The sequence below is a fragment of the Homo sapiens genome, chromosome 2 (assembly GCF_000001405.40).
Source record: "Homo sapiens chromosome 2, GRCh38.p14 Primary Assembly".
Classification (NCBI taxonomy): domain Eukaryota; kingdom Metazoa; phylum Chordata; class Mammalia; order Primates; family Hominidae; genus Homo; species Homo sapiens.
Window position 1 is genome coordinate 234673939 of NC_000002.12, and position 12454 is coordinate 234686392.

The following is a 12454-nucleotide window of genomic DNA, read 5'->3' on the forward strand; positions in this document are numbered from 1 at the left end:
ACACAGTTGGCACATGGAGAGGTAGGTGAAATGAACAAACCCATCTGCCAGATCATAGCCCCAAGGTCAGTAAGTTAAAGGTCAAGCAGAGAGTATGGAGTCTCTCTCCTTAAGAGGCTTTCCTTTGAGTAGATTGGCTGGATTCCCAGACTCTCTCTCTACTGGGCTGTTCTAAGCTCCCTCTGTCTTCTCCTCATGTAGCTGAGGTTAGAGGTTCATATGAGAACTTTCCTGGCCTTTGAGTGTCCTGAGACAGACACCCAGGACCAACTTTGTGTTGGCCTCAGGGTGAAATTGCCTCTATGACTTCATCTTTAGGATCAAAATTGGTTCATCATGTGCTCCAACCCTTCTGAGCTGCAGAGACTACACTGGAACTTAGTGCATGGGGCTGGAGCTTCAACAGTGATGTTCCCCTGAAATTGTTCTCTGGGCATGTACCTCTCTTGGAGACCTTAAGGGGAGGAAAGACAAAGTAAGGTTGAAGTTTGGGTCTTTCTGGGTCCACTGGCCCAATATTATCTCATAATCTCATCTCTGTCCCCACAAATACCAATCTAGATCCCTTATCTCAGAGGACAATGCTCTGTCCAAGCCCAGAGTGGAAAAATGCTGAGCCCATCTCACTGTCAACTCTCTAAGCAGGAGGAGGGGAGAGCTGTCCTGGGAAGACTGCTCTAAAGCTGTACCAGGCATCGCCTTTTGGAAGCTCTAAGATTTTGTCATAAAAAGCAATATGGAAGAGAGGATTTCATTAAGACAAAAAGACAAAGCCAAAATATATTCCAAGCTCACATTCAAAAAAAAAAAAAAAAAAAAAAAACCGTAAGACTCCTTTTGAGAAGCTTTATAGGAGCTTTTCATGTCATTGAGCTCTTCTAATCTAGATACTAAATTGCTTTCTGTTCACTCATCATTCTTAGCATTCCTCATGAGGACAAACATAAAATAAAACAAAACAAAGCAAAACCAACAGCTAAACATGGCTAGGAAGCCAGTCAAACAGTCACACCACACAAGGCAGCATTCATGCCCCCACACATCAGGGAAGATACACTGAGAATCATTGCTCAGTTGTTCCCTGGGAGATACAGATACCAGTGGGCTGGGGGAGATCCCTGAACACCGGTGAGACCTTGACCCCAGCCGGTGCCCAGGCTCTTGACATCCTCACGAGAAGGAATTCAAGTATGAGTCAGAAAATAGTGCAAGTATGGAGATTTATCACAAAGGGAAAAGTACAAACTCTAAAAAGGGAGGTGTGGGTGTACTTCAGAGTTAAGTAGATGGAGTTTGGGGCTGCTACCTTTATGGATTTCTTTAATCAAGGGGTGGAATATTCATGAAAGTTCTTGGAAAAAGGTGAAGAGTTCTTGGAAAAAGGTGAAGATTTCTTGGAACTGTGGTGCCATCCATTTTTTACATCAAATATGGGTGTTCTCAGAACCATCATGGTGCTGGTGGGTGTGTGGTTAGTATGTTAATGAGCACATAATGAGGTCCTAGGAGAAACCTAGGTCAAATCCAGTGCCATGTTGGTTCCAGTCATTCTCATCCAGCTTGGTCCACACCCTGGTTTTTCAGGGTCTTATCAGCCCATGGGCTGTAGTCATGTGAAACTCCTGCCTGAAATGTTTTATTCTCTTGTGACCAACCTATATTATTCCTGTCTCAAAACAATGACCTCAGAATAACACCTGAGTTATAGGATAGAATATGACCCACCCTGAGGTCTCAGGGTGATCTACTGTGAACACCAGAGTCCTCCTGAATGAGTTAGTGGATGTTGGGACAATTTTAAAGAAGAAAGCAGTACAATGCTTTCTTTGCACAGCCTCCCAGCACTGACCACTTATTGTTTCATCACAGGGCCAGGTTGTAGGCGAACCCTCACATTATTTATATTTCCTCTACAAAAAAGAGTGCCAGCAACCTGAGATTGCATTCATTAATCTAAGCAGGTAAAAGCCAGCAGGACTGCAGCTGGAAATGGTTTCAGGAAAATGAAGCAGAGATTGTCTTCCTTCAATATCTTATGGTAGGATGATCACCCAGCCTCTATCAGTCCTCAAAACAGGGACAAATGACACCTATTACTTTCCTGATAAAGTTTTGATGTGTGTACTCATGGGTAAAAAGCTAGGTAAATGACTAGGAAGACCATCTTCCAGTCCCCAAATAAAATAAGACTAAATAACAGAGAAGTTCAATCTCCTTCAGGGAGATTGGCAAAAAGGATGGAGTTGTCAAAACAAAGAGGGGCCACTGCTTTTTCTATTGCCATCATTTTAGTGCCTTTGCACCGTCTAAACTTGTATTTGCTCACCACCGAGGTTGAAGTTGGGATAAAAGTGGGGGGGAAGGGAAGGCAAACATTTGCTTGAGTAAGAGATCATTGTTTCCATAGCTGTTTGCTATGTTTTCTTCCTGAGCCAAACACCACACACCTGTCTCCTAAAGAAAAGACAGAGCCTGTTTAACCAGCAGCATAAGCAGGTGTTCTCTTGCTGTTCTAAATGGACTGCTTATTCTTGCAAGCAGAAACATGCTGCTCTAAACAAATGCCATCCAGTTGCTTCTAAATCTGTATGTCTGAAACACCTAGGGGAGCTTGCTATAAATATAAATTCCCAGACTGTACCTCCCAAGATTCTAATCCAGTTGGTCTGGGCAGGGGCCTAGGAATCTGAATGTTGAGTAGGCACTTCTGCTCCTCCCTGGGAATGCTGGGAGCTAGGCATAGCAGTTATTCTGCATTCCCATACCTCACGTTAGCATTTTAGAGCGGAAAAAAGGAACTTGGGGATCATCTAACTCAGCCTCTTTGTTTTACACAGAAATAACTTTGAATCTGAAACAAAGAACCTGATTCGACCAGTCAGGGCTGAGAATGGTGGAAAATCTCTGGTCCAGGCTGCCTGCCTCTTGCTGAATTGAGAACTTTGGGATATGTTTCTGTAAAAGGCTAGAAGCAAATAACTTTGGGGGCAGGGGAGTCTTATTAGGAGTCATCTATAGAAAGAAGCCTTTGTTCGGAAAAGATGGCTTTGAAAAAGCAAATGTTAGTGTAAGATGCTATATTAGAGGAAGGGCCCGGGAAAATCCGGCCTGGGGCACAGGGGCACAAGAACCGGTCTTTGTTTGGCCATCTGCAGTCTGCATCTGAGTGCCCAGGGAAGAGGCAGGAACTCAAATGGCTAATAGCTTTTGAACTCCAAATAAAAGGCAAACAAAGCCATTCTTAAACAAAAGGACTGTAGTCTTGAAACAATTCTTAAAGAGAAAGGCCCCGTTGATGTGTATTCCTCCCAAATGGAACTTAATTAGGCCACGCATGTTCATGCACTTTGCAGACACCAGAAAACCCAATCCTTTCTGTATTCCTAGATCCAGGAGGAGCATGGGTAGCTTACAGCTGCCTCAGTAGCACTATATGGATTGTCAGAGATATTGTGTAAATAATTATGGAGTTACCTCTGATAACATGTATGCCCATAATGGAACCACTTCCGGGTACCCTGCACACACCCTTCACCCCAATTCTTATTGAACCACAGGACCCACAGCAGAACAGATGTTGCTGAGAACCCTGGCCATGGGCCTGTCAGGCAGGGATGTGCACATTGTGGGTGTGCTTAGTGTGGATAATGGGGATTCCTGGCAAATTTTAGACCTGGGTAACAGCGAATATAATTATTTCTAAAATTCTGGGTGTTTTGATTTTCATTCCCTTAAAACTTGCATCATGAAATGGGGGCCGTCTGAAGAATTCTCAACAAAAGGAAAATAGGAAGAAGCAGGGCCTCCCTGGGCACTTGCCCCACAGTTTGAGTGATGTGTAGACCCACTGTGATGCATTGAGCTCATCACTTTATTCATTTAGAAATGCCTGCAGTGCACGTATCCATGGGTTTCTAACCACACAGCCCATTAAGCAGAGCTGACAAAATTGAGGCCCTGTGATATTCTTGCAGGTACTGATAGAGCTGGCACAAGGACCCAGGAGACCTCCCACACAGCATCCTTTCTACACCAAGACACAGCCTTGATGACTCATCCTCTGTTGACATGAATTTCCAAATTATTAGCTCTTTCCTGAGTAATCAGTGACATCTCATCTTTCCTGGGTTTGCATGGAGTCTTCTGGAAGATTTGGGGTCAGTCTCTACAGCAGCTGCATCTTAATGTGATCCCCCCATGAGTCAAGCCTTGTGTGACCCTTCCCCTTGAGTGGAACCTGCGACTTGATTCTAGCCAATGGAGTATGTCAGAGGTGATGGGATGCCCCTCACTAAAGGTAATGTTACATGCAAGGTGGTATTCCAACCATGGGGCCATGGACCAGTACCCGTTAGGAACCAGGTTGCACAGCAGCAGGTGAGTGGTGGGTGAGCCAGCGAAGCTTCATCTGTATTTACAGCCGCTCCTCATTGCTCACTTACCACCTGAGCTCCACCACCTGTCAGATTAGCAGCAGCATTAGATTCTCACAGGAGCACAAAACCCATTGGGAACTGCGCATGTGAGGGATCTAGGTTGTGTGCTCCTTATGAGAATCTAATGCCTGATGATCTGTCACTGTCTCCCATCACCCCTAGATGGGACTATCTAGTTGTAGGAAAACAAGCTTAAGGCTCCCACTGATTCTGCATTATGGTGAGTTGCAGAATTATTTCATTATATATTACAATGTAATAATAATAGAACATGCACAATTAATGTAATGTGCTTGAATAATCCTGAGACTGCCCCCCACCCCACCCCTGGTCCATGGAAATATTGTCTTCCATGAAATCAGTCCCTGGTTGCTGCTGTAGGAGATGCTCTCACAGCTGACTGGAGTGAGATTACTTGAAGACATAAGCTGCCATCCTGCAAGAACACCACATGGCAAGGAACTGCAGACAGCCTTTAGGTGCTGAGAACAGCTGCAGCTACAGCCAGCTAGAAAAGAGGACTCAGTGTAGAGCCACAAGGGACTGAATTCTGCCAACAACCACACGAGCTTGGAAGAGGCATGCAGCTTGGCTGATATCTGACCACAACCTTGTAAGAACCTGAGGTCCCAACTAAGCCATGCCCAGTCTGCTGACCCACAGAAGTCGCAAGAGGATAAATGCACAGTTGATTCTCATTATACACCATAGTTATGTTCTGTGAAGTCACCATGAACACCGAATTAGCAAATACCATTGCTGCTATGGGGAATGCAGGGTTAGGTTCCTATGAGTCTCTGGTCACAACATTTTTTGGTCACCCAATCAACACGTAACCTTGTTTTATGTGTGTTTCTATTGACAGGCACCTGATTTAATATATATTGTTGATTCGTTACATTGAACAACTCGTGGCCAACAACGCCACAACTCATGCCTGTGTGAAGCTTCTCTAACACACGGATTTCCTCCAGGAAGCACATCACAGCCTTCTCATGCTTGGGAACACCAGACGGCTCTTCTGTGCTGTGCTTGGGACCATCTTAAACAGTGAAATCACTATCAAAAACACAAATTGGTGACAAACCATGGCACTAAATAGACTGTGAAAAGGACAATTGTTTACAACGTGCGAGCTGGAGCAAGAAGGCAGAGCGTTGCTTTGCTCAACTCAGTGGGATGTGTGCCTTGGGTGACTCAAATGTTTCAAAGCTCTGTGCACATCCACCAGTGAGCATGAAAGCACCTCGGGTATCAATTTTGGGGTTACTAATCGATTTCAGCAGTGGGAGAATTCACAAATACGGAATCTGTAAATGATGAGGATGGGCTGTTTTGTTGTTTTCAGCTGCTGAGTTTGTGATCACTTGTTAGGCAGCCATCGCCAACTAACTCAGTCTCTCACTGCCGTCACTCTGCCTGCCGGCAAACCCCAGCCAAGCTCCCTCTCAGAAATAAAATTCTGTTTCCGGTGAACATGCTGTTTCATACTCTGACTTTCTTTGCCTTCAGTCTTCCTTTGAACGTGACTCCTGTTCTGCACGTATGAGGATGTTAAACAAATACTGTTCTTCTGACACAACCTTTCTGTTACTTGAGTGTTTTATAGTACATTCCTAGAACTCCTATGTATTAGAAAAGCACAAGGAGCTGGAAGGCTTTGCTGCACTTCATAAAAATATGGTCTCTGTAGCAGACACAACTCATTCCCTCAGCCTGGCTTAAACATGAGGTCAAATCTCCTTTATTCCTCATTTTAAATCATCACATGGTTTAAGCTTTTTTCGTATCCCGCAAGATCATTTTTCTTGCTTTTGCAAGAATCCCACTTCCTTTCCCTGATGGATCAAAGAATTCCAGAGCTCACTCACCATGACTCACCCATGCCCCAGCCAAGTTCACAGGGCCGACAGAAAACCAGGAAAGTCGTTCTGTCCTCTGGCCAGCCCAGGCCTTGGCTGCATTGCTGTGGTCATTGACCTGCTGCACAATTTCTCAACCCCAGGGTCACCGGCCACCAGCGACTTTCCTTTCCTCTCTTCTATACCATTACAGAAAATTGGTTGAATATCTCCATGTGACTGAAGCAGGGACTGTCCCCTCTCACATCTGTCCCTCAGTGCAGGCACCCTCGCCCTTTGGACACAATCCTGAATATCAGACCAGCCAGATGTGTCCCACATTCATTGGCAGAATTGAAGCTGAAAGACCCCAGATCCTGCTCTGTACAGCCTGGGCTTAGCGCTGTCTCCAGTAACTGAGCTGAGTAGGTTGACACCTGTGCATAAAGCCATTGCTTCTCCCAAGGCTTGCACAGAAGATTTAGTGGGCAGGTTGCTAGCACCTTCTACTCTCCACTCAACATTGTCTCAGAGACCATCATCTAACTCTCCACATTAGTGCACCCCTCACCCTCCGAATATGGAATCTGCCCCTCCCTCAATCAGTCCTCAAAACCAGCCTGCCCTCAAGACAGGGTAAAAAACCCTCCCGGGTGCATGTACAGATCCTCCTCCTTTTACAACGGGGTTATGTCCTAATAAACCCATTGTAAGTTGAGAATATCATAAGTTGAAAATGCACTCAATACGCCTCGCCTACCCAACATTATAGCTTAGCCTAGCCTAGTTTAAACATGCCTTAGCCAACAGTTGGGCAAAATCATCTCACACAAAGCCTATCTTATAATAAAGTGTTGAATATCTCATGTAATTTATTGACTTCTGTACTAAAAGTCAAAAACAGAATGGTTGTATGGGTAGCATTGCAAAGTTGAAAAATCACAAGTCAAACCATGGTAAGTTGGGACCCTCTGTGTTAAAAAATATTATCACAAAGGAGCTCAGAGTAGGACACAAACATCCTCATGTTGAACTGCACCACTGCAGCACAGAACTTAGATAAATGAAGAGAAAGAACAACACTACGTTTATGACATAGGAAGAAAAATCTGATTGTCCACACACAATGAGCAATGTTTCCCCATCCCAGGGGTTCAGAGTGATTTGTCTATTTCCCCATGTTGCTAGGTTAATCATCATCATCTGCTTCAATGCAGCAAAACAGGAGGAGAATTAATGAACCATTTCACAGCAAGCACTCACCGCGTCTCAGCATAGGCTTACAGAGTAGCCTCAAAAATAAATTACGCAGACCTGCTTTATGCTTGCAGAATGGAGAGAAGAGCTAACAAAGCCATAATTTTCCCTTCTTTTAAGCCTCTGCTCAAAATATATAGTTTTCCACTTTGGTTGATTCCCTTAGGATTTTGTATTGGTGGTGATTGATTTTCTTCTTTTATCGTTATCAATTGACGCTGTGTTCTCAGATCACTGAACATTAGAGATGTTACAATCCCATTTTTAGAAAGCTATAAAAAGTTAAATTTGGAGAATGAGGGACAATACATAAAAAGCATTCTGAAGCATACTAGCACTTTGGCCTATAAAATGAAGATAATTGTAATAATTTATCACATAATTCTGCTTAAGATTTAATTATGTTGTGACTTTGAGATTTCTTCTTTCAGAATTTATAACTGCAATGAATCTTAAAACAATAAAGGAGTTGGAGAAGAATAAGGCAGAAGAAAATCCTTGATGTAAAAAAGATACAAGCACAGGATTCTTCAAAGAAAAAAGAAGAATGAGACAAATCTATGTGCCAATGATTACTCTCAACTCAGCCGTTAGCTCATTTGCATTATTTTAATATACATCACCTGCTCATAATATTCCATTTGGCTTCAAAATTCTTCCTCCCTCCATGGCAGAAGTGATTGGACATTATTCTCATGTGACTTCTTTATCCTAGATTTCTCCTTAACAGCTACATTCCAAACTAATATTAAGAACCATCACATGATACCATTTACAAATCATAGGAAACATGCATGGAATTCAAAAGGGATAAAGTAGCATTCTCCAAAATATTTTATGGGCATTCTTATTTGTGCTTCACCTATTCTGAAAAGTGTTTGAGGCTTCTCACTACTATATATGTATTAAAGTAGAATTTTTAAAAGTAAGAGAAGAAAACCGTGGGAACAATGGAAAACGAGGATAGGAAAAGTAAGATGAGGTCAGTGCACCTGTATTATTCAACTAGTACTGCAAAAGTGCTGCATAATGGACAATGACAAAATCTCCGTGGCTGACAACTGCAGCATTCCCTTTGCACTCATAAGCCTGTGAGTCAGCTGGGGGCCTCTCTCACTGCAGACCCTGCTGGCTCTGCTCCACGAGTCTCTTGCCCTCCTGGGACCAGAGAGGCCAGTTGGGGCATGTTCTTTTCATAGTGAAGGCAGACCACAGGCTGGCAAATGGAAATGCATGATGCTTCCTAAGGCCTAGGCTCAGACCTGGCAACTGTCAATTCCACTTTCCTCATCTTATGTAAGTAGAAACTCTAAAGCAAATCTGCACAAGGAATGGGATTCTGGGAAATGTAGTTCCCAGCCTTAGATGCCTATAGTGATGGTGGTAAAGGTGAGGGTGATGGTGTGATGGTGATGGGTAGTAGCGGTGATGATGGTGGTAACAGTGGTGGTAATGATGGTGATGATGGTGACAGTGGTAGTGACAGTGGTGGTTATGGTGGTGATGGTGGTGATGCTGTTGGTGGTGATGGTGGTGGTGGTGGTGGGTGATAATGGTGGTTATGGTGGTGGTGGTGGTGGGTGGTGATGGTGGTAGTGACAGTGGTGGTTTTGGTGGTGATGGTGGTAGTGGTGATTATGCTGGTGGTGAAGGTGAATGGTGGTGGTAATGGTAGTGATGTGATGGTGATGGTGATGGTGGTGGTTATGGTGGTGATGGTGGTGGTTATGGTGATGATGGTACCGGTAGCAGTGATGTGATGGTGGTGGTTATGGTGATGATGGTACCGGTAGCAGTGATGTGATGGTGGTGGAGGTGCAGTGGTGGTGGTAACAAGCTGAAAATAGATAATTAAGCGCAGTATGAAAATGTTCAGTCCCTGAGCACCTTTCTAGACATAAGGTTGAAACAACTTCTATACTTTCTAGAATTCAATTCAAAGGGAAACATGATCACAGAGGCTGTAAGATTCACTTAGGGATGGGTCATTTATAATTCATTGGGGAGCAGGTTCTTTTTGTGTGAAGTTTTATCTTCATCAATTTCAATCATTTCTGTTTTTTATCTGATGATTCCACTGTTTTCTCTGTTTTCTTTTTCTGTCACACTTATGTCTCATCATATCTCTCATTTTTTTCATCTTTTTATGTTTGGGAAAAATTTTCCTGACTCCACCTTTATTTTTAAATCTCAAATAGTTGTTCTTTTCCATTTCTTTCTTTTTCAGAATATTTTGTTCTTGGTTTATGTACTAAAAATTTTACATCTCTCTATTAATTGGAATATTATTCTTAGATATTTTCTGTATCCTAAATTACCATATTTTTTCTGTTTATATTTTTTTCTGTTTCTTTGTTCAGGTCTTTCTTGTTTGAGCTAGAAATCAAAAGGTATCTGAGACAAATGTCAATCAATTTAGAAGTTTATTTTGCCAAAGTTGAGGATGCACCCAGGAAAAAAAAACAGAAGTTACAGTAGGATCTGTGGCCTGTTCTTTATCCGAAGAGAGTTTCATGAACATCAATATTTAAAGGCAAAAGAGCAGACAGGAGTGAAAGGAGGAAAGAAAAAAAAAAAAGGAGGGCAGGCAATGAGGCAAGCAGTTACATTCTTGTGAGGCTCTGATTAGTGCTCACTGCATCGACATTTTACATAAAAAGAGAGGAGTAGGGGGAAAAGTCAATAATGCATTCCTCTCGAGCTCAGTAAATCTACATTTTACATAAGATAAAGTTAGCATGTGAAATTACAGCTCTCTGGGAACAAAGAAAGGCAGGTTTTGTTTGTTTGTTTGTTTCTGTTATATGTATTTTGTTTTGTTTTGTTTTTTGTGAATCAGTTCACAGGCTGAATTTTTGCCTCTGGCATAGTGACTTTGGGGTCTTAAGATTTTATTTTTCTTGCACAGAGTTTAGGTCTCCTCCTCTGCCTGGTGATTCTTGGTCTTCTGTTTGGGATTGAGAAAACAGGATGGGTATGTGGTGTTGGTTCTCTCTGTGGCTGAGTCTCTATGGTATGGTGGGTGTGTTCAATTATTTTAGAAAATAGGCTACAGTGGTTTCTCTTGGAACATCTACAGGCCACCTCTTCTATGGATCAAGGAGTATATATTCTTTGTGAACTTGTGACTTATCAGGACTTTAATAACCCCCCTGCATACCCAGTTAACATATTCTAGGAAGTTGCTTCACCACACGTTTCATTAGCCAACACATTTCCCTCTAACTAGCAGTGTCTGCATTTTCCATTAAATAATCCATGACTTCTCATACTATTTGCCTTTGCCAACTTCATCACATATTCAAACTCCTTCTCTAATAATAGGGCTATATGAACTAAAAATCAACACAGCTTTATGGCATTTTTAATATTTGGAAAAGTCATTTCCCCTCATAATACTTTCTTTCAAAACATTTAAAATTTATTCTCAACACTTTTTTCTTCCACATGAACTTTGGATTTATTTTAACAAGTTTTCCCAAAAATAGTATAGAGACTTTGTTTGGAATTATTTTAATTATGTAAGTTGGGAAATTTAATCATACAAAATAGTCTTATCATCCAAGACATGTTATGTAAATATTGGTATTACTTATTTTTTGGTGTGTAATAATAGTATCTATAATTATTTGTATGTTTTCCAAGTGGTTATAGACATTATAAAGACCTGATTTTTTATATATTACTTTCAGAATCAGCCACTGAATTCTATCCACAATCCATATGTTATTTTGATTGACAATCTGGGGTGTTTATATACAATCATACTGGCTGCAAATAGTAATACTTCTATCTTCTTCATATCAAATGTATATTACTTGTTTTTGTCTTCTGTCCAGAGCCTCCAAAGTAACATTGTAATGTGTTGATAGGAATGAGAAACGAAGACCTTCACTAAGTTTATTTTTCTACAGTTTCCCTATTCCTTGACTACACTGGGCAGAGGTATTTATTGTCTTTGCAAATAAATCATTTTTTGTTTCACTTATTAATCCCATCATCTTAAAAGTCATTAATTTCTGATTTCATCTATATTATGTTCTTTCTAATTCCCTACGTTGAAGGATAACATATATTTTTTTTCTTCTTCATTTGGAAATGAAAGCATTTAGGGTTAATAATTGGCCTCTCCCAATACCTTGGAAAGCCTTAGTTACATAGTGTCTTCCTTTTTAATAATTTTCTAAATATACTGAAATAATATTTGATATCCTATTAGTTATCTGAGAGGGCTTTTATTTTATTTGTTATATCTTAACTAATTGGGTTATTCTTTCTAAATGTTTATTATAAATCTTGAATTTTAGAAAATTATGTTCACGAATAACAAGTTTTGCTCTGAGGATTTTATAGAGGCAAATATATGCAACTTTTGTAAATGTTCCATGGACATTCAAAAATTAGTAGTCCTATTAGTACGAGCTTTATCTTTATCTTTTCTAAGTCTTACATTATCATTGTGATAGGCTGAACAGTGGCCCCTTAAGATATACAGGTCCTAATCCCTCAAACCTTTGGATATTACTTTATAAGACAAGACTTTGCAGATGTGATTAACAGTATTGAGATGGGAAGATTATCCTGAATCAACTTAAAGGAAAAAAAAACTGAGGCAAAATTAATAAAAGTAGAGAGTTTATTTGGGCCAAATTTGAGGACTGCAACCCAGGAGCATAGATCCTAATTGCCCTGAATCTACATTCTAATTAACAGCAGTTACAAGTCGGATTTTAAAGAAAAGAAGGAGAGGCAGTTCCTAAGCTGTTCACCAACAATTTACATTAAAATAACATAGTCTATTGAATGGCTATACATTGTCTTTTGTATCACTAATTCCAGGAACAGGATATAAGGGTGAGACATCTGGTCTGAAATGCTTTTAAACAATTGCCCCCAGCATAGGTGTGGAAGGGCAGGGTG

General features: G+C 41.2%; 1 long non-coding RNA gene across 1 annotated transcript in view; it reads left to right on the plus strand.

The window, feature by feature from the left end:
- Nucleotides 1-8729: 8729 nt before the first annotated feature.
- Nucleotides 8730-12454, plus strand: part of LINC01173 (long intergenic non-protein coding RNA 1173) — a 35097-nt gene continuing 31372 nt past the window's right edge. The window contains exon 1 of the long non-coding RNA NR_132376.1: nucleotides 8730-8830. This is a non-coding gene — a long non-coding RNA (long intergenic non-protein coding RNA 1173). The remainder of the gene's footprint in view (nucleotides 8831-12454) is intronic.